The sequence below is a fragment of the Homo sapiens genome, chromosome 9 (genome assembly GCF_000001405.40).
Source record: "Homo sapiens chromosome 9, GRCh38.p14 Primary Assembly".
In the NCBI taxonomy this organism is placed as follows: Eukaryota; Metazoa; Chordata; class Mammalia; order Primates; family Hominidae; genus Homo; species Homo sapiens.
Genome location: NC_000009.12, coordinates 128,183,398 through 128,202,798, shown reverse-complemented (window position 1 = coordinate 128,202,798; position 19,401 = coordinate 128,183,398). Strand labels below are relative to the sequence as shown.

Sequence of the window (19,401 nt, the reverse complement as noted above, 5' to 3'; positions counted from 1 at the left end):
TCTTGCATCAAGCTGGGGAGACAGACAGTAAATAAGTAAGCAGATAAATGAAATAGTAAAAATGAAAATAATTCATAGTAAGAGGGATGGAGGAAATAAACAGGGTGAAAAAAGGTATCTTTGTGGGTGTGGAAAGTTCACATTGGCTTGGCAGGAGTCGGGGGTGTTCTCTGCAGAAGTGACATTTGAGAAGAGACCAAAATGATGAGAAGGAGCCAGCAGCAAGCAGATCAGGGGAAGAGCATGCCAGGCTGAATGACCAGCAAGTGCAGAGGCCCTGACACCTGGAGGGCCCTTCTTGGGAGAGTTGGAAGCTCTTGTCCTAGAGAGTGGAAGTCTTTGCTCCAACCCATCAGGATGGTGGTAAAACAGCGTAAAACAGTGGGATTCAAATCCAGGGCTCCTACAATCCTACCCTGCGTACCCTTTCACACAGACAGACCATGGGGCCCTGAGCCCAGCCGTCCATCTCTGCATTTAAGAAACCTAATTAGTATTCACGGTGGAGGCTAGGAAGGGAAGGCTAGCCTACACTGTGCTCATGGGGAGTCGGTGAGTCATTTCCCTGCGCTGTGAACAGTGTGGGGGCACTGCTGACAAAGTGGTCTGTGAATTGGAGACTGTTCACTTACTCATCCATTTAATGCGTATTTGTTGAGCCAGGTACTATGCTAGACTCCAGAGATAAAGCAGTGAGCAAAACGGACAAAGTCCTTACCCACATGTGGCTGACAATTCAGTGGAAAAAGACAGACAATATGCAAATAGGGCAATAACGATGGCCCTGTTAGATGGCGTGCCCTGCAGAGCAAGAAAGCAGGGGCGGGGTAGGGTGGTGTTGCTATTGTGAAGATGGTGATCAGAGAGTGACCCTTGTGGGGAGGAATCTTCGAGGCAGGCATGGGGAACAAGCAGGCCCTCTCCCTGGTAGCACCAGAGAGTGGATTAGGAGTCTAATCTGGGCCTTAAACAAGCTGCGTGACCCAGGTCCCTCCACGTCTCTGAACCTCAGTTAACTAATCTGGATAATGGGGATAATAATAGATCAAATGCCTGTGTAGGGCACAGCCCAGGCCTAGTGCTCAGGGGGCCCTTATTAAGCTGCAGCTGTGAGGATGCCAATGATAACAGCTCACCAGACAGCTGGAGCATCAGTGCCACACAACTTGCATGGAACCTGGCAGCTGTTCCATGCCAACCTGTTATTATGCTCTGAGGACAAGAGAAGGCAGAGATGGAAGCCTGGATGACTGGCACCAGGAGGGGGTGCAGTTTATAGATGTTTGCCTAGAGGGCATCATGGCTGGGCTTTTAATATTATTTATTTACTTATTTATTTTATTTATTTTTGAGACGGAGTCTCACTCTGTCGCCAGGCTGGAGTGCAGTGGCATGATCTCAGCTCACTGCAACCTCTGCCTCCTGGGTTCAAGCGATTCTCCTGCCTCAGCCTCCCGAGTAGCTGGGACTACAGGCACGTGCCACCACTCCTAGCTAATTTTTGTATTTTTTGTTTGTTTGTTTGTTTTTTGAGACGGAATCTCGCTCTGTTACCCAGGCTAGAGTGCAGTGGTGCGATCTTGGCTCACTGCAACCTCCACCTCCTGGGTTCAAGCAATTCTCCTGCCTCAGCCTCCCAAGTAGCTGGGACTACAGGCTCGTGCCACCACGCCCGGCTAATGTTTTGTATTTTTAGTAGAGATAGGGTTTCACCGTGTTAGCCAGGATGGTTTCCATCTCCTGACCTTGTGATCTGCCTGCCTCTGCCTCCCAAAGTGCTGGGATTACAGGTGTGAACCACTGCGCCCGGCCAATTTTTGTATTTTTAGTAGAGATAGGGTTTCACCATGTCGGCCGGGATGGTCTCGATCTCTTGACCTTGTGATCCTCCTGCCTCAGCCTCCCAAAGTGTTGGGATTACGGGAATGAGCCACTGTGCCCAGCCTATTTATTTATTTATTTGAGACGTAGTCTCGCTCTGTCTCCCAGGCTGGAGTGCAGTGTCGTGATCTCAGCTCACTGCAACCTCCGCCTCCCAAGTTCAGGTGATTCTCCTGCCTCAGCCTCCAAAGTAGCTGGGACTACAGGCATGCACCACCACGCCCAGCTAATTTTTTGTATTTCTTTCTTTTTTTTTTTTTGAGACAGAGTCTTGCTCTGTCGCTCAGGTTAGAGTGCAGTGGTGTGATCTCAGCTCACTGCAACCTCTCCCTCCCTGGTTCAAGGAATTCTCCTGCCTCAGCCTCCTGAGTAGCTGGGATTACAGGTGCTCGCCACTGTGCCCAGCTAATTTTTGTATTTTTAGTAGAGACGGGGTTTCATCATCTTGGCCAGGCTGGTCTCAAACTCCTGACCTCATGATCTGTCCGCCTCAGCCTCCCAAAATGCTGGGATTATAGCTGTGAGCCACCATGCCCAGCCAGCTTTTATTATTTTTACTTTTTCCCCCCTAATTACAATATTGAAACTTATTGTAAAACCAGACTTTACACAAGTATTTGAAAACCTCTGGTCATCCTCCCACCTAGAGATAACCACTATAGCTTAGGGATCGTTCTCTGGCTTTGTTTTTCATATATGCACATATTCATTTTGTTCCATTTTGTTTTTACAGAAATGGGATTATACTAAGTATCCTATACTGCTGTATCACTGATGCCAGGCCAGCAGCCTGGCATCACATGGAGTTGGTTGAAAAGAAGAATCTCAGGGCCAGGTGCAGTGGCCCACACCTGTAATCCCAGCACTTTAGGAGGCCAAGGCGGGTGGATCACTTGAGGCCAGGAGTTGGAGACCAGCCTGTCCAACATGGCGAAACACCATCTCTACTAAATATACAAAAATTAGCTGGGCATGGTAGCCCGCACCTGTAATCCCAGGTACTCGAGAGGCTGAGGTGGGAGAATTGCTTGAACCTGGGAGGCAGGGGTGGTGGTTGCATCGAGCCGAGATCACACCATGCACTCCAGCCTGGGTGACAGAGCAAGACTCCATCTCAAAAAAAAAAAAAAAAAGAAAGAAAGAAATGGCTTCTTTACTCTCTCTTGAGCTCCCAAAGCTTTTTTGTTTTTGTTTTTTTGTTTGTTTTTAGAGATAAGATAAACCTTGCTCAGCTGCCCAGACTGGAGTGCAGTAGCACAATCGCAGCTCCCTGTAGCCTCAAACTCCTGGGCTCAAGTAGGCTTCCTGCCTCAGCCACCCAAATAGCTGAAACTACAAGTGCACACCACCATGCCCAGTTAATTAAAACAATTTTTTTTTGTACAGACGGGATCTTGCTTTGTTGCCCAGGTTGGTTTTGAACTCCTGGTTTCAAGTGATCCTACTGTTTTGGCCTCCCAAAGTGCTGGCACTATAGGTGTGAGCCACCATACATGGCTGAGCTCCCAAAGTTTTGACCACCAACTGTGCTGGGCAGAATTTTTTTTTTTTGAGACAGAGTCTTGTTCCAGCTCCAAGCTGGAGTGCAGTGGCATGATCTCTGCTTACTGCAACCTCTGCCTCCTGGGCTCAAGCAATTCTCCTGCTTCAGCCTCCTGAGTAGCTGGGATTACAGGTGCCCACCATTATGCCCAGCTAATTTTTGTATTTTTAGTACAGACAGGGTTTCACCATGTTGGCCAGGCTGGTCTTGAACTCCTGACCTCAGGTGATCCACTCACCTCGGCCTCCCAAAGTGCTGGGATTACAGGCGTGAGCCACCGTGCCCAGCCGAGAAAGAAGTTTTATTAGCCTCCTTTGACAGATGAGAAAACTGAGGCACAGAGAGGTTAGTAAAGAACATGTCTGAGGTCACATAGCCAAGAAATGATGGAGTCAAGATGTAGACGGTTGTCAGTGTGACTCAGAGCTTCCATATTTACATCCTACACTATGCCAGCTCTGGTAATCGATGGTTTTCTCCCAGAGATGCTGTGTGGTGAATACATATTTTTAGTGCACAAAAAATAAAACCCTTTTGTTTTTTTGAGATGGAGTCTCGCTCTGTCGCCAGGCTGGAGTGCAGTGGCACGATCTCAGCTCACTGCAACCTCCGCCTCCTGGGTTCAAGCGATTCCCCTGCCTCAGCCTCCCAAGTAGCTGGAACGACAGGCACTCACCACCACACCTGACTAATTTTTTGTATTTTAGTAGAGACGGGGTTTCATCATGCTGGTCAGGATGGTGTCGATCTCCTGACCTCGTGATCTGCCCGCCTCGGCCTCCCAAAGTGCTGGGATTACAGGCATGAGCCACCGTGCCTGGCCAAAACACGAGCCCTTTTTGACAGTATTTGTGTTGTATACATACACAGTAGGTGCTCAATAAATGCCAGTTGAATTGAGCAGTGGCCTTATTACACAGCTCCGGGGTCAAGTCATTATATTTAGTCACTAAGTCTGCGCAGGGTCTGGCTCTTTGGAGTCATTCATTCATTCATTTTTCCCACAGGTATGGATCAGTGGCTACTATGTGCCAGATCTCAGCAAGACAGAGGAGGATGAAGAGGTTAATAAGACGCAGGGATCATCCTGCTGGAATGGAAGTCACAGGGGAGGGGCTAAGGGGACCAGGAACATGGGACAAGGGCACCTGGCACAGCCTGGGGCAGAGTCGCCGCTGAGGAAACAGCTGGGTCAGGCTGGGCCTTCTCTACATGGTTGCAGGCTGGGCACCAATATTTCCTATGGGCTTTGGGGCTCTGGCAGTCCAGGCGTCTGTGCCTGCACCACCTTATCTCCTGTTGAAGGGCTCCCCATCAGCCTGGAACAGGGCAGGTGCCCATGTGTGCTGATTGTGCCATGGTTAGGTCTGAAGCCAGACCGCCTGGTATTCAAATCCCACTTCTGTCACTTTCTAACCTGATGACCTTGGGCAAATCATTTTACCTCCCAAAGCTTCAGTTTCTTCATCTGTAAAAGGGGGATTATAATAACCCCTAACTCATAGGATTGTGTGACGGTTCAGTGATGTAATAATAATTTAGGTAAAGCATCCAACAGTGCCTGGAACTGTGAATCATGAGAGCTACAAATAGTGTCATTATAACCATCATCACCATTGCACTGTCCAAAGAAACTTCTCCGGTGTTGCGAAGGTAGCAGAGGGTGTGACTGGATGCGGTAAGGGAGGAGAGAGAATCTGTTATCCACAAGTCTGTCCTGTCTGGCACAGTTGGCCAAACTAGAGCCCTAAGTCAGGACCTACCCTGGGTCCCCCGGAAGGTAGGGGCAGCAACAAGGTCGTGCCCATTCGGCTATTCCCTGCCTCTGTCCTCTGCCTTTCACACTCCATTTATTTTTAGGAAAAGGCACAGGTGAGCGACAGCCACTGGGGAGGCCAGGTGATAAGCATATGGTCTTATGTATTTCTCTGCCTCTTGTCTGACTTGGAGCTGTTGTTGAATACAGCCTATTCCCAGGGATTCTGAGCTGGGGCATCTGCTGGGGGTGCCCACCTTATGGCCTATGCTGGGTGCCTCACTGGAACTTGCCTCTGTAGGGTGATGGACACAGATATAAAAGGCGCGAAGGGCTGCTATGATGAACGCTAACCTGAGGACAGAGGGAAGAAATTGCATCCTGAAGCAATCCATTCATTCATTCATCATTCACTAATTTAATCAGCCTTCACCACACAAACCTGCGATGTGCAGGGTTCTGAGCTGGGTCCCAAGGACATGAGGACAACTTGGCAGGTACTTTCTACCATCAAGGGCACACGACATTGCTGAGGACAGAAATAGTGCAAGGTGGGGAGGTGGCAGGTTACAAGATAAAGAAGCTATAGTCAATTGCCAGTTAGAAAGAGTACTGGGAAAATAGCAATAATAGCTACCATAGAAACTGTGCAAGTACTAGGTGAAGAGGCCTGTGAAACTAACTTACTGCAAGGCTTGAATAAATAGAGACATTCGCGGCCAGGTGCAGTGGCTCATGCCTGTAATCTCAGCACTTTGAGAGGCTGAGGCGGGGGTATCACAAGGTCAAGAGGTCGAGACCATTCTGGCCAACATGGTGAAACCTTGTCTCTACTAAAAATACAAAAATTAGCCGGGCGTGGTGGCGGGTGCCTGTAGTCCCAGCCACTCAGGAGGCTGAGGCAGGAGAATTGCTTGAACCCGGGAGGTGGAGGTTGCATTGAGCAGAGATCGTGCCACTGCACTCCAGCCTGAAGACAGAGCGAGACTCTGTCTCAAATAAATAAATAAATAATAGAGACATTCACCTCATTCTTTTCTTTTCTCTTTCTTTCTTTCTTTTTTTTTTTTTGAGACAGGGTCTCACTCTGTTGCCAAGGCTGAAGTGCAGTGGCACGATCGTGGCTCACTGTAGACTTGACCTCTCTGGCCCAAGTGATCCTCTCACCTCAACCTCCCAAGTAGCTGAGACTACAGGCACACACCACCATGCCCAGCTAATTTTTAGTTATTTGTAGAGACGGTGATCTCCCTATATTGTCCAGCCTGGTCTTGAATTTCTGGGCTCAAGGAATCCTCCCACCTTGGCCTCTCAAACTATTGGGATTATAGGTGTGAGTCACAACACCTGGCCCATTTACCTCCTTCTTAAACTGAAAAACGGGGGGTAAAGACGTCAGTTTTTCTCTAATTTAAACATATTTAGTGCAACACCAATCAAAATTCTAATGAGGTCCAGGTTTAGTGGCTCATGCCTGTAATCCCAGCAATTTAGGAGGCCAAGGTGGGTGGATCATCTGAAGTCAGGAGTTCGAGACCAGCCTGGACAACATGGTAAAACCCCATCTCTACTAAAAATACAAAAAATTAGCTGGGTGTGGTGGTGCATGCCTGTAATCCCAGCTACTTGGGAGGCTGAGACACAAGAATCACTCAAACCCAGGAGGCAGCGGGTGCAGTGAACCAAGATTGCACCACTGCACTCCAGCTTGGGCGACAGAGCGAGACTCTGCCTCAAAAACAAACAAACAAAAATTCTGATGGGATTTCAGAGGCTGGGGAAGGTTTGACAAAATTCTATGAAGTATCTGAAAAAAATATATAATTGGGAATTAGCAAAAATTTTTTAAAGAATAACAATGTCAGGGGCTTGCACTATGAGGGGGTAAACATATTCTAAAGCTATAATAATCAAAGTATGTGACATCATCATGAGAAGGGATAGATAGAGTCCATGAGAAGGGATAGATAGATAAAGTCCTGGAGCAGAATAGGTCTGGAAGGCCTGGCATGGAGGCTCACGCTTGTAATCCCAGCACTTTGGGAGGCCAAGGTGGGTAGATCACTTGAGATCAGGAGTTTGAGACCAGCCTAGTCAACATGGTGGAACCCCATCTCTACTGAAAATACAAAAATTAGCCGGGTGTGGTGGCGCATGCTTGTAGTCTCAGCTACTCAGGATGCTGAGGCACGAGAATCACTTAAATCCAGGAGGCAGAGACTGCAGTGAGCTGAGATCACACCACTGCACTCCAGCGTGGATGACAGAACAAAATTCTGTCTCAAAAAAACAAAACAAAACAAAAACACCTGGGATGGTAATGTGCATGCATTTTATAAGCCAGTGAGCTCACTTCACATCATATTGTGGGTGTTTATCCTTTGAAAACATAATTTCTGATGGCTGGGCACTGTTCCTTAAAAGGTGACACCATGACTTATTTAGCTATTCCCCTAAAGTTGATTATTTTCCAGACAGCTATTATAAATAATGTTTTGGCTGAATGTGGTGGCTCACACCTGTAATCTCAGCACTTCAGGAGACCATGGTAGGAGAATCACTTGAACCTATGAGTTCAAGACCAGCCCGGGCAACATAGTGAGACCCCTGTCTTTAAAAAAAAAAATACAAAAATTTGCTGGGCGTGGTGGCATGGACTTGTAGTCCTAGCTGCTCAGGAGGCTGAGGTAGGAGGCTCCATTGAGCCAGGGAGGGAAAGGCTGCAGTGAGCTATGATCGTGCCACTGCGCTCCAGACTGGGAGACAGAGCAAGACCCTGTCTCTTTTTTTTTGTTTTGTTTTGAGACAGTTTTGCTCTTGTTGCCCAGGCTGGAGTGCAACGATGGGATCTTGGCTCACTGCAACCTCTGCCTACCAGGTTCAAGCGATTCTCCTGCCTCAGTCTCCTGAGTAGCTGGGATTACAGGTGCCCACCACCAGGCCCAGCTAATTTTTTGTATTTTTAGTAGAGACGGGGTTTCACTATGTTGGCCAGGCTGGTCTCGAACTCCTGACCTCAGGCGATCCACCCACCTCAGCCTCCCAAAGTGCTGGGATTGTAGGCGTGAGCCACCATGCCCAGCTGAGGCTGTCCTTAAAAAGAAAAAAGAAAAAATATATAAATATTTCCATGAACAACCTGCTATCTTGTAAAAGTCTCATTTCTGATTATTTTCTTAGGCTAGACTCCTACAAATGGTGTTATTGGGTCAAAGGGCAAAACATGTGCAAGATTCTTTTTTTTTTTTTTTTTTTTGAGATGGAGTTTTGCTCTTGTCACCCAGGCTGGAGTGCAATGGTACGATCTTGGCTCACTGCAACCTCCGGCTCCCAGGTTCAAGCAATTCTCCTGCCTCATCCTCCCGAGTAGCTGGGATGACAGGCGTCTGCCACCATGCCCGGCTAATTTTTGTATTTTTAGTAGAGATGAGGTTTCACCATGTTGGCCAGGCTGGTCTTGAACTCTTGACCTCAGGTGATCCGCCTGCTTCAGCCTCCCAAAGTGCTGGGATTACAGACATGAGCCACTGCATCGGCCCAAGATTCTTGATATAAAATTTGCAAATTGCTTCCCAGAAAGATGAACCAACACAGGAAGTTAGTGCTGGCTTTCCACCTTCACCAGCACAAGCATTATTTTTAGTTTTTTCACTTTGGCAATTTGCTAAGCTCCTTCTGTGCCAGGTGCCAGTGCTAAGCATTATGTAATGTCATCCTTACCACCCCGGGAGGGGGCACACATTTCACCAAGGAGGAAACCAGCTAAGAGGCCTCTCCCCCAGCCAGTGTCACCTAGCCACAAGGCAGGGGAGTCACGATTCAATCCTGGACCTCTCCAACGCTAGCACCCAGATCAAGGTGTTAACATGCTTGCTTGGCAGCCTGGGCAGTCTTTGATTTTTATTTTTTAAAATGGAGTCTCACTCTGTCGCCCAGGCTGGAATGCAGTGATGTGATCTCGGCTGCAACCTCTGCCTCCCGGGTTCAAGCGATTCTTCTGCCTCAGCCTCCCGAGTAGCTGAGATTACAGGCGCCCGCCACCACATCCGGCTAATTTTTTTTGTATTTTTAGTAGACACGTAGTTTTACCATGTTGGCCAGGCTGGTGTCGAACTCCTGACCTTAAGTGATCCACTTGCCTGGACCCCCCACAAAGTGCTGGGATTACAGGGGTGAGCCGCTGTGCCCAGTAGAGCCTGGGCAGTCTTGACTCGCCCCTCTCTCCTCACTGCTTCTGTCTTGGTTTTCACGGGAGCGGGTTTTCTAATTGGCAGATTTGATGCTGTCACTCATGAGGTTCACACCCTTCTCCAGTGCTCCCTACCCTTAGAGGATAAAGCCTACTTCTCAGCCCAGCATTCGAAGTCCCCACCCTCCAGGCTGCCTGTTCACCCATAGGCGCCGACGTCCCCGGGGCCCTGGACGCCACCCTGCGCTCCGGCCTCGCTGAGTCACTTTCGCGCCTCTAAGTCCTAGCTCTTCCACGACTAGTCCAGGTTGAGTTAGGCTCCTCAGCCGCCGCCCATCTGCCGCAGAGCCAGTCCAGAGCTTTGGAGCGGCGCTCGTCACATGACTGCAGTGATTTATGGACGCGCGAATTCTGCTGCCCGAGCGCCCTCCGTCAACGCGCTCCGCCTGCCCGGGTCTGCGCGCCGCCAGTGCCCCCGCGCGCCCTGCCCGCCCAACGTCGGCGCGGAAGGCAGGGCGAGGAGTCGCCCAGGCTGTGACACGCACAAGGCAGGGAGCCACAGAAAAGGGAGCCGGAATTGCTACTTAGTCCAGGAGAGGTGGCTCACCCCTGTAATCCCAGCACTTTGGGAGGCCAAGGCAGGCGAATCACTTGAGGTCAGGAGTTCGAGACTAGCCTGACCAACATGGTGAAGCCCCGTCTCTATTAAAAATACAAAAATTAGCCGGGCGTGGTGGCCCGCGCCTGTAGTCCCAGGTATTCTGGAAGCTGAGGCGGGAGGACCACTTGAACCCAGGAGGCGGAGGTTGCGGTGAGCCCAGATCGTGCCACTGCACTTCAGCCTGGGCGACAGAGTGAGACTCCGTCTCAAAAATATAAATAAATAAAAAATAAATAAAAGAATTACTACTTAGTAGCCAAGGATTGTTACGGCGCGGGGATGGGGGGATACAGCGGTTGTTAAGGGGGTTCTTGGGGGCAGGACCATTTTAGGTGCAGGATAAGGGAGCAGGGCTCTGTTTTCCTCTCCTTTTCTTTTTAAAATTTTTACTTTTTTTTTTTTGACAGCTCTTGCTCTGTCGCTCAGGCTGGAGTGCAGTGGCGCGATCTCAGCTCACTGCAGCCTGTGCCTCCCGGGCTCAAGTGATCCTCTTGCCTTAGCCTCCCGAGTAGCTGGGACTACAGACGCCCGCCACCACCCTGGCTAATGTTTGTATTTTTTGTAGAGAGGGATTTCGCCATTTTGCCCAGGCTGGTCTTGATCCTCCAGCCTCGGCCTCCCAGAGTACTGAGATTACAGGCGGAAGCGCCCGGCCCCTAGGGCTATTTTTTGATAATTGGCCTCGACCCTCCTCACCTACTCCTTCCTTAGCCAAATCTACTGAGAAAAGACTTGGAGGGGGACTCTCCCTCCACCCCTCCGTGGGCAAACTCCTGACGGACTGTAAGACCTTGGCCGCCCTCTCGCCTGGCCTGGGTCCCTCGAATGAATGTACATCCGCCAACTGCGCGCCCCCTCTCACCGCAGCCCCGCGCGGGGCCCCAGGATCGCAGGACCGCGGCGGCCGCAGGGAGGTGGGTTGGGAACAGGAAGGAAGTCCCCCTCGATGCCCCGCGGGATGGCTGACCCTTCCGGGCGGCAGACGGACCTTGGTCTCCGAGCCTCCCCTTCGCGATGCGGAGGACGCGGGACAGAGGGTATGAGCCGCCCAGGACCCCCTCGCACCTGCTAGCGCCCCGCAGCCGCCCCCCAGCGTGACTTGTGCACTGGGCGGGCTCGGGTGGCGCGGCCGGAGGCGCCTGGACCTCCCGTCCCCCAGAGGGCGCTGCCCCGGCCGGCCCCGCCCGCATTTGGGCCTTACGAGCCCACAGGCCCCGGAGTAGCAGCGGGGAGGCCGGGAGCCCGCGGGCCGGAGCCGCCCGGCCGAGGCGTGGGGGCTGCGGGGCCGGCCCATCCGTGGGGGCGACTTGAGCGTTGAGGGCGCGCGGGGAGGCGAGGTGCGGGGCCGGGGGCGGCTGGGTCGTGGGGCTCCGCCTGCGAGCTGGCTGTGTCTGCGGAGGAGGCGGCTGGCGGGGTGGGAGCGGGCGGAGTGGGGCGCGAGGAGGTGGCGGTGGTGGAGAGAAGCCGTCCCACGGAGCTCAGGACCACGGTGACCGGGTTGGACGGGTGCCGATGTTATTGACACCCGGGGGCCCAGAGAGGGTTGCGGTATTGAAAAGGGGCTGTGAGTGAGGAAGTGATGGGCGCAGAGAGAGGCTGAGGCTGAGGGTGGGAGGATGGAGCCGCCAGAAATGGAGAGATGGAGGGACTTGAAGGAGGGGCTGTTGGCAGTGTCTGGGGGGCATTGGCAGGAGGGTGGTTGAATCTTGCCCCTAGCAGGACTGGAGGTAACTTGGAAGGATGGGCCAAGCGAGTGTGGCAGGCTCTTGGCAGGACTGGGAATGCAGCTGTGAAGCTCCTCAGCAGTCTCTGCGGGCTGTGGCTGCGGGGAGTGGCGGTGGATGGGAGGGGAGCAGGCCTGACTTATGGTGGGGACCCCTTGCCTCACTCTGCTTTCTGCCCCTAGCCACCATGTTCAGCCAGCAGCAGCAGCAGCAGCTCCAGCAACAGCAGCAGCAGCTCCAGCAGTTACAGCAGCAGCAGCTCCAGCAGCAGCAATTGCAGCAGCAGCAGTTACTGCAGCTCCAGCAGCTGCTCCAGCAGTCCCCACCACAGGCCCCGTTGCCCATGGCTGTCAGCCGGTGAGTTCCCCTCTCGGGCGCGATGGCTTCAGCCTTGCTACTCAGACCCATGTCTCGGAGCTCCCGATCCCCATCCTTTTTCCCAGTGCCATCCCCGTTTGAGTCCTGGAGATCACCAATTCCAGCCCCAAGGGGTCCTCTGTCTACCACAGAGTGGGGCAGAGAATGGAGGTGAGAAGCCTTGGGGAAGAAGGAAGGTCTGACTTTCCAAATAACCCTCTGACACCCCCTCCCAACACACAGGGGGCTCCCCCCGCAGCAGCCACAGCAGCCGCTTCTGAATCTCCAGGGCACCAACTCAGCCTCCCTCCTCAACGGCTCCATGCTGCAGAGAGCTTTGCTTTTACAGCAGTTGCAAGGTATGGATGGCCCCAGGCCTCTTCTCAGTCTCTTTTAGTGGTAGCTCCCTAGCAGCGCATTGCTCTAAATCTCAACTCCACACAGCCACCCTGAGAGGGAGCTATTCTTGGCATCCTAGTTCACTCATGAGGACACTAAGGCTCCAGGAGGTGAAAGTCCCTAAGCTGCTAATTTGAATGCAGATCTGTCTGATTGCAGAGGTGTGTCCTTGGCCATGGTGCTGGCTCTTTGGGCAATACTCAGCACACTTCACTCACATTCAGATTAGATGCCATCTGACAGGTGAAGAAGCTAAGAAGGGAAATCATTTGCCCTGCATCAGCAGTGGCTAAGCTGGGCCGATGCCTGGGCCTCTTGACCATCCAGATGTCTGAGTGGTTGTCTCTAGCCCTGTGCATTAAGTCTGTGGCCTTGTCTCAATTTCCCAATATGGAGAGCAGTCTCAGCTCTTCCTTCCAAGATGCTGCTCCTTTTTTTTTTTTTTTTTTTTTTTTTTTTTTTTTGAGACAGAGTTTTGCTCTGTCGCCCAGGCTGGAGTGGAGTGCAATGGTGCAATCTTGGCTCACTGCAACCTCCGGTTCCCGGGTCCAAGCAATTCTCCTGCCTTAGCTTCCCGAGTAGCTGGGATTACAGGTGCCCGCCACCATGCCCAGCTAATTTTTGTATTTTTAGTAGAGACGGGGTTTCCCCATGTTGGCCAGGCTGGTCTTGAACTCCTGACCTCAGGTGATCCACCCGCCTTGGCCTCCCAAATTGCTGGGATTACAGGCGTGAGCCACTGCGCCCAGCCAAGATGCTGCTCCTGATTCTACTGATAACCCCCTAAGGAGAGGTACAACCATGATCCCATTTTACAAATGAAGAAACTGAGGCCCAGAGAGGGGTCATGTGCCCAAGATTACATAACAAGTCGGTATTGATTAGATGGTTGTCACTCTGTGGACCTGTCAGGGCCACATGGATGTGGTCCTGGGAACTGACTTAAAAATGATAAGCAGGTAGGTAGAGAGAGAGAACCATACACAGGGACCTGCCACATATACATATACATCTTCCTTTTTTTCTTTCCCATTTAAAACATTACACCCTTCAGCCATGGGTTGTGGCTCACGCCTGTAATCCCAGCACTTTGGGAGGCCAAGGCAGGAGGATCACATGAGTCCAGGAGTTCGAGAACAGCTTGGGCAACATGGTGAAACTCTGTCTCTATTAAAAATACAAAAATTAGGCTGGGTGTGGTGGCTCACACCTGTAATCTCAGCACATTGGGAGGCCGACCGAGGTGGGCGGATCACGAGGTCAGGAGATCGAGACCATCCTGGCCAACATGGTGAAACCCCGTCTCTACTAAAAATACAAAAATTAGCTAGGTGTGATGGTGTGCACCTGTAGTCCCAGCTACCCAGGAGGCTGAGGCAGGAGAATCACTTGAACCTGGGAGGTGGAGGTCGCAGTGAGCTGAGATCGCGCCACCGTACTCCAGCCCAGCAACAGAGCGAGACCCTGTCTCAAAAAAAGAAAAAAAAAATTGGCTGGGCGTGGTGGCGTGCGCCTGTAATCCCAGCTACTCAGGAGGCTGAGGCATGAGAATTGCTGAACCCAGGAGGCGGGGGTTGCTGTGAGCCAAAATTGTATCACTGCATTCCAGCCTAGGTGACAGAGCGAGACCCTTTCTCAAAAAAAGAAAAAAAAAAAGGAAAATAACTCACACTCTTGGCCAGGTGCAGTGGCTCATGCCTGTAATCCCAACTCTTTGGGAGGCCAAGACAGGAGATTTGCTTGAGGCCAGGAGTTCAAGATCAGCCTGGGCAACTTAGCAAGACCCTTTCTCAAAAACAAACAAAAGAATAAAAGTCACACTCTTTAAAGTGGAAAAAAAGGTTAAAAATGGGGATAGGAAAACCCACAGTGTCATCTGTTGACTCACTCACCACCTGAAGAAAACCACCAGTCAGCATTTTTGTCTCTTTCATCCCATTTTTTTTCTAGGCACAGACTTGGGGATTTGTATCTGATGATTGTGATTGATATAAGTCCCAGGCTGTACCCTGTTTCTTTGTCACTGAATAGAATGGCATGATCGTTTACCATAGGATTTGATCATCTGTGTTAAGATTATTTTTAATAGCTGTTTAATATTGCACCAGAGGGCTATGCCTTTGTTTATCTAAACCTTCTTAGCTGTTTGGCTCTTTCCTTTTTTTTTTTTTGCTTTTTTCTTTCTTTTGCTTTTTTTAATTTTTTGTTTTGTTTTGTTTTGGGTTTTTTTTTTTTTTTTGCTGTTTTAAGTAACCCTGGGATGAATATGTTGTTTGAGATTGTTTTCTCACTGAGTCAGGGGGGATGGATGTTTTATGGCTCTTGATAAGTATTGCCGAATTGCTTTCCTAAAGGACTGGACCAGTTTGCAATGCCACCAGCCACGTATGACACTGCCGGTCTCACCATGCCCACAGCAACACTGGGTATTATATGCTTTTTATATATATATATAAATGTATATATACATATAATTAAGTTGGTTGGCAAAAAGAAGCTATGTCATGAATGTTTTACATTTCTTAGAGTGCTAGTGCAATTGAACATTTTATATTTGTCTGTTGAACATTTTATTTCTTTTTGTGACTTGTCCATGTCCTTTGTTCATTTTTCTTTTAGGTTGTTTCATCTTTTGTCTTATTGTTTTTAAGAGCTGGTTGGCTCTCTGCACATATGTGTATATGTATTTGTTTCAAGTTAATGTTAATTGAACATTTACTATGTACCAGGCACATTTGTATATCTCATTGAATACTCATGAAACATTGTGAGGCAAGTGCTATTATTATCCCCTTTTTACAGATCAGGAAATCAGGCTAAGCAGGGGGAAGTGATTTGTTCAAGGTCACAGAGCTTGCACTGTAGAGTCTGGATTTGAACCCAGCGCTCACAGCACGCCATGCTTTAACCTTTAACCCCTGTGCTTCCCATCCCAGCACTGGGGCAAGAGTTCCAACTGCCTTTCATCCCTTAAATACTTCCCAAGCTCTGGGCTTCCCCTGAGGTGCAGAGCTGAGTTAGATGATGTGAAGCAGAAAGCAGATAAGGAGCTGGATGTGGTGGCTCACGCCTGTAATCCCAGCACTTTGGTAGGCCAAGGTGGGCGGATCACCCTGAGGTCAGGAGTTTGAGACCAGCCTGGCCAACATGGTGAAACCCTGTCTCTACTAAAAATACAAAAATTAGCCAGGTGTGGTGGCGGGCGTCTGTAGTCCCAGCTAGTCGGGAGGCTGAGGCAGGAGAATCACTTGAACCCAGGAGGCAGAGGTTGCAGTGAGCCAAGATCGCACCACTGCACTCCAGACTGGGCAACAGAGCAAGACTCCCTCTCAAAAAAAAAAAAAAAAAAGCAGACAAGGAAAGTATGAAGTATGTAGCTCGTCCTAGAATAATTGGAAGCTGGGGCCTTTGGGGACACAGTCTGCAAAGGTCTCTTGGAGGAGAGATACCTATAGGGAGGTCTGAAGGGTGTCAGTGGGTAGAACAGCCCAGGCAGAGGGAACAGCATATTCAAAGGCCCTGAGGCAGGATGTCTGAAGGACGGCACAGGGACATGTGACTGGAATATAGTGGGGACATGTGGGGAGAATGGCAAGAAAGGAGGCTGGAAAGGTGGGAAGGGCCAGACCATGCAGTGAGGAATGGCCTTTGCTACCCAACAGCAGGGAGCTATGGAAGTGTTTGGGCAGAAGGGAGAGATGAACTCAGAATATGGTTTGCGAAAGATCGCTGTTTGCTGCCATCTTGTGCAAAAGCTGTGGCTGGAATTCAGGCAAAGGATCAAGTGGTTTTGGGAGGAGGCAGGGAGTGGGAGTGGGGATGGAGCGGGAAAGTCAGATTGGGAAGAGGCATAGGAGACAGAGTTGATAGTATGTGGGGATGGCTTGCATGGAATAGGGCAAAGAGAGGGAGGAATGAGGAATACCCCAGAATCCTGGCTGGGGCGGTAGGTGGATGGCAGTGTCCCTCGTAGCGACCCTGGGCAAGCTGCACCTCCACTCTGTCTCCGTTTTGTCATCGGTAGAGATAACACCCACCCTGAAACCTGCTGGGCCGAGGGACTGAGGCAGTGTGAGGAATGGGCTTAGCACAGTGCCTGACTCATAGTTGCTGCTGATAAAGGGTAGCTGGTAGGGGTGGGGGTGGGTGTCTTGTTATCCCAGGGACCAGCCCTCCTGCTGGTTCTCCCTATGGGCTGTGCTAAGTCTCTCACCTACTCTATGGCAGACTCTAAAGCATGCCTGAGGGTGAGCAGAGTTTTGGGGAATGCTAAAGGCAACACCCCCACCCCTAGCTGGGGCAGAAAAGAGCCCTAAAGCTTCCTTCACCATCAGTGCCCAAGATGGGGCTGAGCCTCAGCTCTCATCTCTTCCCTTTGGCTGCCCTTGGGTGGGAAGGTCCCTTTCAATTATCTGGGATGTTCCCATGATGCTCTGGGGCACTGATGCCTGACCCTACCTTCTGCCACCCGACCACATTGTGACCCCTCTTCTCCTGTCTTCTTGCCTGCAGGTAACCTCCGAGGCTATGGCATGGCATCCCCAGGCCTCGCAGCCCCCAGCCTCACACCCCCACAACTGGCCACTCCAAATTTGCAACAGTTCTTTCCCCAGGCCACTCGCCAGTCCTTGCTGGGACCTCCTCCTGTTGGGGTCCCCATGAACCCTTCCCAGTTCAACCTTTCAGGACGGAACCCCCAGAAACAGGCCCGGACCTCCTCCTCTACCACCCCCAATCGAAAGGTGAGTGGTAGGTGGGGATGGGAGTGGGCGGGAGGGGACCCTGGGTGTCAGCCCCAGTGCCACCTGCTCTGGCTCAGTCTGGGCCTTCGGACAGGTCACACTCCCTTTATGCCTCAGTTTCCTCATCTGTAAAATGAGGGGGGCGGGAATGGACTTGTTTAGCGTTTCCCAAACTTCAAATATTCTTTTATCAACGAAGGGATTTTTGCCATGCCCAAACACTACCAGTACTATCATTTACTTAATGTTTCTTTTTTGTTTGTTTTTTGAGATGAAGTTTCGCTCTTATTGCCCAGGCTGAAGTACAATGGCGCGATCTCAGCTCACTGCAACCTCCGTCTCCCAGGTTCAAGCGATTCTCCTGCCTCAGCCTCCAGAGTAGCTGGGATTACAGGCATGCGCCACCACGCCCAGCTAATTTTGTATTTTTAGTAAAGACGGGGTTTCTCCATGTTGGTCAGGCTGGTCTCAAACTCCTGACCTCAGGTGATCCGCCCGCCTCAGCCTCCCAAAGTGCTGGGATTACAGGCGTGAGCCACTGCGCCCAGCTTAATATTTCTTTTTAAATTATTGGTGTGGCCAAGCGTGGGGGCTCACACCTGTAATCCCAGTACTTTAGGAGGCCATGGTGGGTGGATCACCTGAGGTCAGAGGTTCGAAACCAGCCTGGCCAATATGGCAAAACCCCCTTCTCTACTAAAAATACAAAAAAGTAGCCGGGCATGGTGGTGCATGCCTGTAATCCTGGCTACTCAGGAGGCTGAGGCAGGAGAATCGCTTGAACCCAGGAGGCAGAGCTTGCAGTGAGCCAAGATTGCGCCATTGCACTCCAGCCTGGGGAACAAGAGCAAAACTCTGTCTCAAAAAATAAATAAATAAAAATAAAATTATCAGGGCATGATAGTGCATGCCTGTAATCCCAGGGACTTGGGAGGCTGAGGTGGGAGGATTGCTTGAGGCCAGGAGTTAGAGGCTGCAGTGAATTATGATCACACTACTGCACTCCAGCCTGGGTGACAAAGTGAGACCCTGTCTCAAAAAAAAAAAAAAAAAAAAATCAGCACTGCCCAGTAGAAATAAAATACAAGCCATATATGTAATTTAAAATTTTCTGGTAACCACATTATAAAGTAAAAAGAAATGGGCTAAATTAATATTACTAACTTATTTAACCCAATCCCATATGAAACTATTATCATTTCGACCTGTCATCAATATAAAAAATGAGGCATTTTACATTCCTTTTTTAAAAACTACAAAATCTTCACAATCTGGTGTGTATCTGATACTGACCTCTCAATTCAGCCCCGCCAGTTTCAGGTGCTCTCCTGAGGCTGTGGGGTGACTGTGTGGGAGAGCATGGCTTTGAATGAGTGAGCTTCCTTTCTGTTACATTTATTTGGAAAGGAAACATCATATCATAACCTGACATTCTAAAAACTATCTAAGTTAATTGCCATTCATAGAAGTATAAGAAATTGCTGGGTGCAGTGGCTCACGCCTGTAATCCCAACACTTTGGGAGGCTGAGGAGGGCAGATCATTTGAGGTCAGGAGTCCAAGACCAGCCTGGCCAACATGGTGAAACCCCGTCTCTACTAAAAATACAAAAATTAGCTGGGCCCTAGTGGCGGGTGCCTGTAATTCCAGCTACTCAGGAAGGCTGAAGTAGGAGAATCACTTGAACCTGGAAGACAGAGGCTGCAGTGAGCCAAGATCGTGCCATTGCACTCCAGCCTGGGCGACAGAGTGAGACTCCATTTCAAACAAACAAACAAACAAACAAACAAACAAACAAAAGTATAGGAAACATAACTAGGGTAGAACAATGCTATAAAATCCTAAGCTATACGCTGTTGCCGGCTATAGGTTCCAGCCCACAGCCCCCTGGCTCCTTGTGTGTTTGAGAGGTGTTTACCTTTCTCCTGGCATAAGCAGGAGATCTGCAAAGGGCTCACCCCCTCCCTAGACTGTCCTGTCCCTGAAGGTCTCCGCAGCTCCTGCTCACACCCTGCTTCTGGGTGTATTCCAGCGCAGGGGCAATGCCCCCTTTGCTGGCCACTCCAGGGCGGGCCACTTCTGGAGGTAAGGCATTTTCCTTCAGCGAGGGGCCCCGCCTCCAGCCTTCCAACGGGCCTGTCATCACAGAT

The 19,401-nt window shown here is 50.5% G+C and overlaps 1 protein-coding gene across 7 annotated transcripts in view, besides 4 other annotated features; it reads left to right on the top strand.

Annotated features, from left to right (window-relative positions):
- CIZ1 (CDKN1A interacting zinc finger protein 1) overlaps window positions 1–19,401 on the top strand; it is a 38,158-nt gene that overhangs the window by 1,424 nt on the left and 17,333 nt on the right. For 2 of the 7 annotated variants that reach the window (NM_001131017.2, NM_001131016.2), the window contains exons 1-5: window positions 11,227–11,367; window positions 11,937–12,111; window positions 12,355–12,470; window positions 14,865–14,936; window positions 17,023–17,252. In NM_001131017.2, coding sequence (NP_001124489.1) covers window positions 11,942–12,111; window positions 12,355–12,470; window positions 14,865–14,936; window positions 17,023–17,252 — 588 coding nt within the window. In that variant the 5' untranslated portion in view covers window positions 11,227–11,367; window positions 11,937–11,941. Of the gene's footprint in view, window positions 1–10,694; window positions 10,945–11,226; window positions 11,368–11,936; window positions 12,112–12,354; window positions 12,471–14,864; window positions 14,937–17,022; window positions 17,253–19,401 lie in introns of those variants that run through there. The other 5 variants (NM_001131015.2, NM_012127.3, NM_001257975.2 and 2 more) reach the window with 4 other exon arrangements.
- Window positions 9,159–9,673: an enhancer, noted in NCBI's record as "H3K27ac-H3K4me1 hESC enhancer chr9:130955405-130955919 (GRCh37/hg19 assembly coordinates)". NCBI's record gives its function as "activates a minimal SCP1, AML or CMV promoter by ChIP-STARR-seq in naive H9 embryonic stem cells {active_cell/tissue: H9 hESC(naive)}" and the evidence as "EXISTENCE:reporter gene assay evidence [ECO:0000049][PMID:30033119]".
- Window positions 9,674–10,189: an enhancer, noted in NCBI's record as "H3K27ac-H3K4me1 hESC enhancer chr9:130954889-130955404 (GRCh37/hg19 assembly coordinates)". NCBI's record gives its function as "activates a minimal SCP1, AML or CMV promoter by ChIP-STARR-seq in naive H9 embryonic stem cells {active_cell/tissue: H9 hESC(naive)}" and the evidence as "EXISTENCE:reporter gene assay evidence [ECO:0000049][PMID:30033119]".
- Window positions 11,032–11,471: a silencer, noted in NCBI's record as "silent region_20330". NCBI's record gives its function as "represses an Ori minimal core promoter by ATAC-STARR-seq in GM12878 lymphoblastoid cells {active_cell/tissue: GM12878}" and the evidence as "EXISTENCE:reporter gene assay evidence [ECO:0000049][PMID:35858748]".
- Window positions 11,077–11,244: a silencer, noted in NCBI's record as "fragment chr9:130953834-130954001 (GRCh37/hg19 assembly coordinates)". NCBI's record gives its function as "represses an EF-1alpha promoter that drives an FKBP-Casp9 reporter gene in an ReSE screen in K562 erythroleukemia cells {active_cell/tissue: K562}" and the evidence as "EXISTENCE:reporter gene assay evidence [ECO:0000049][PMID:32094911]".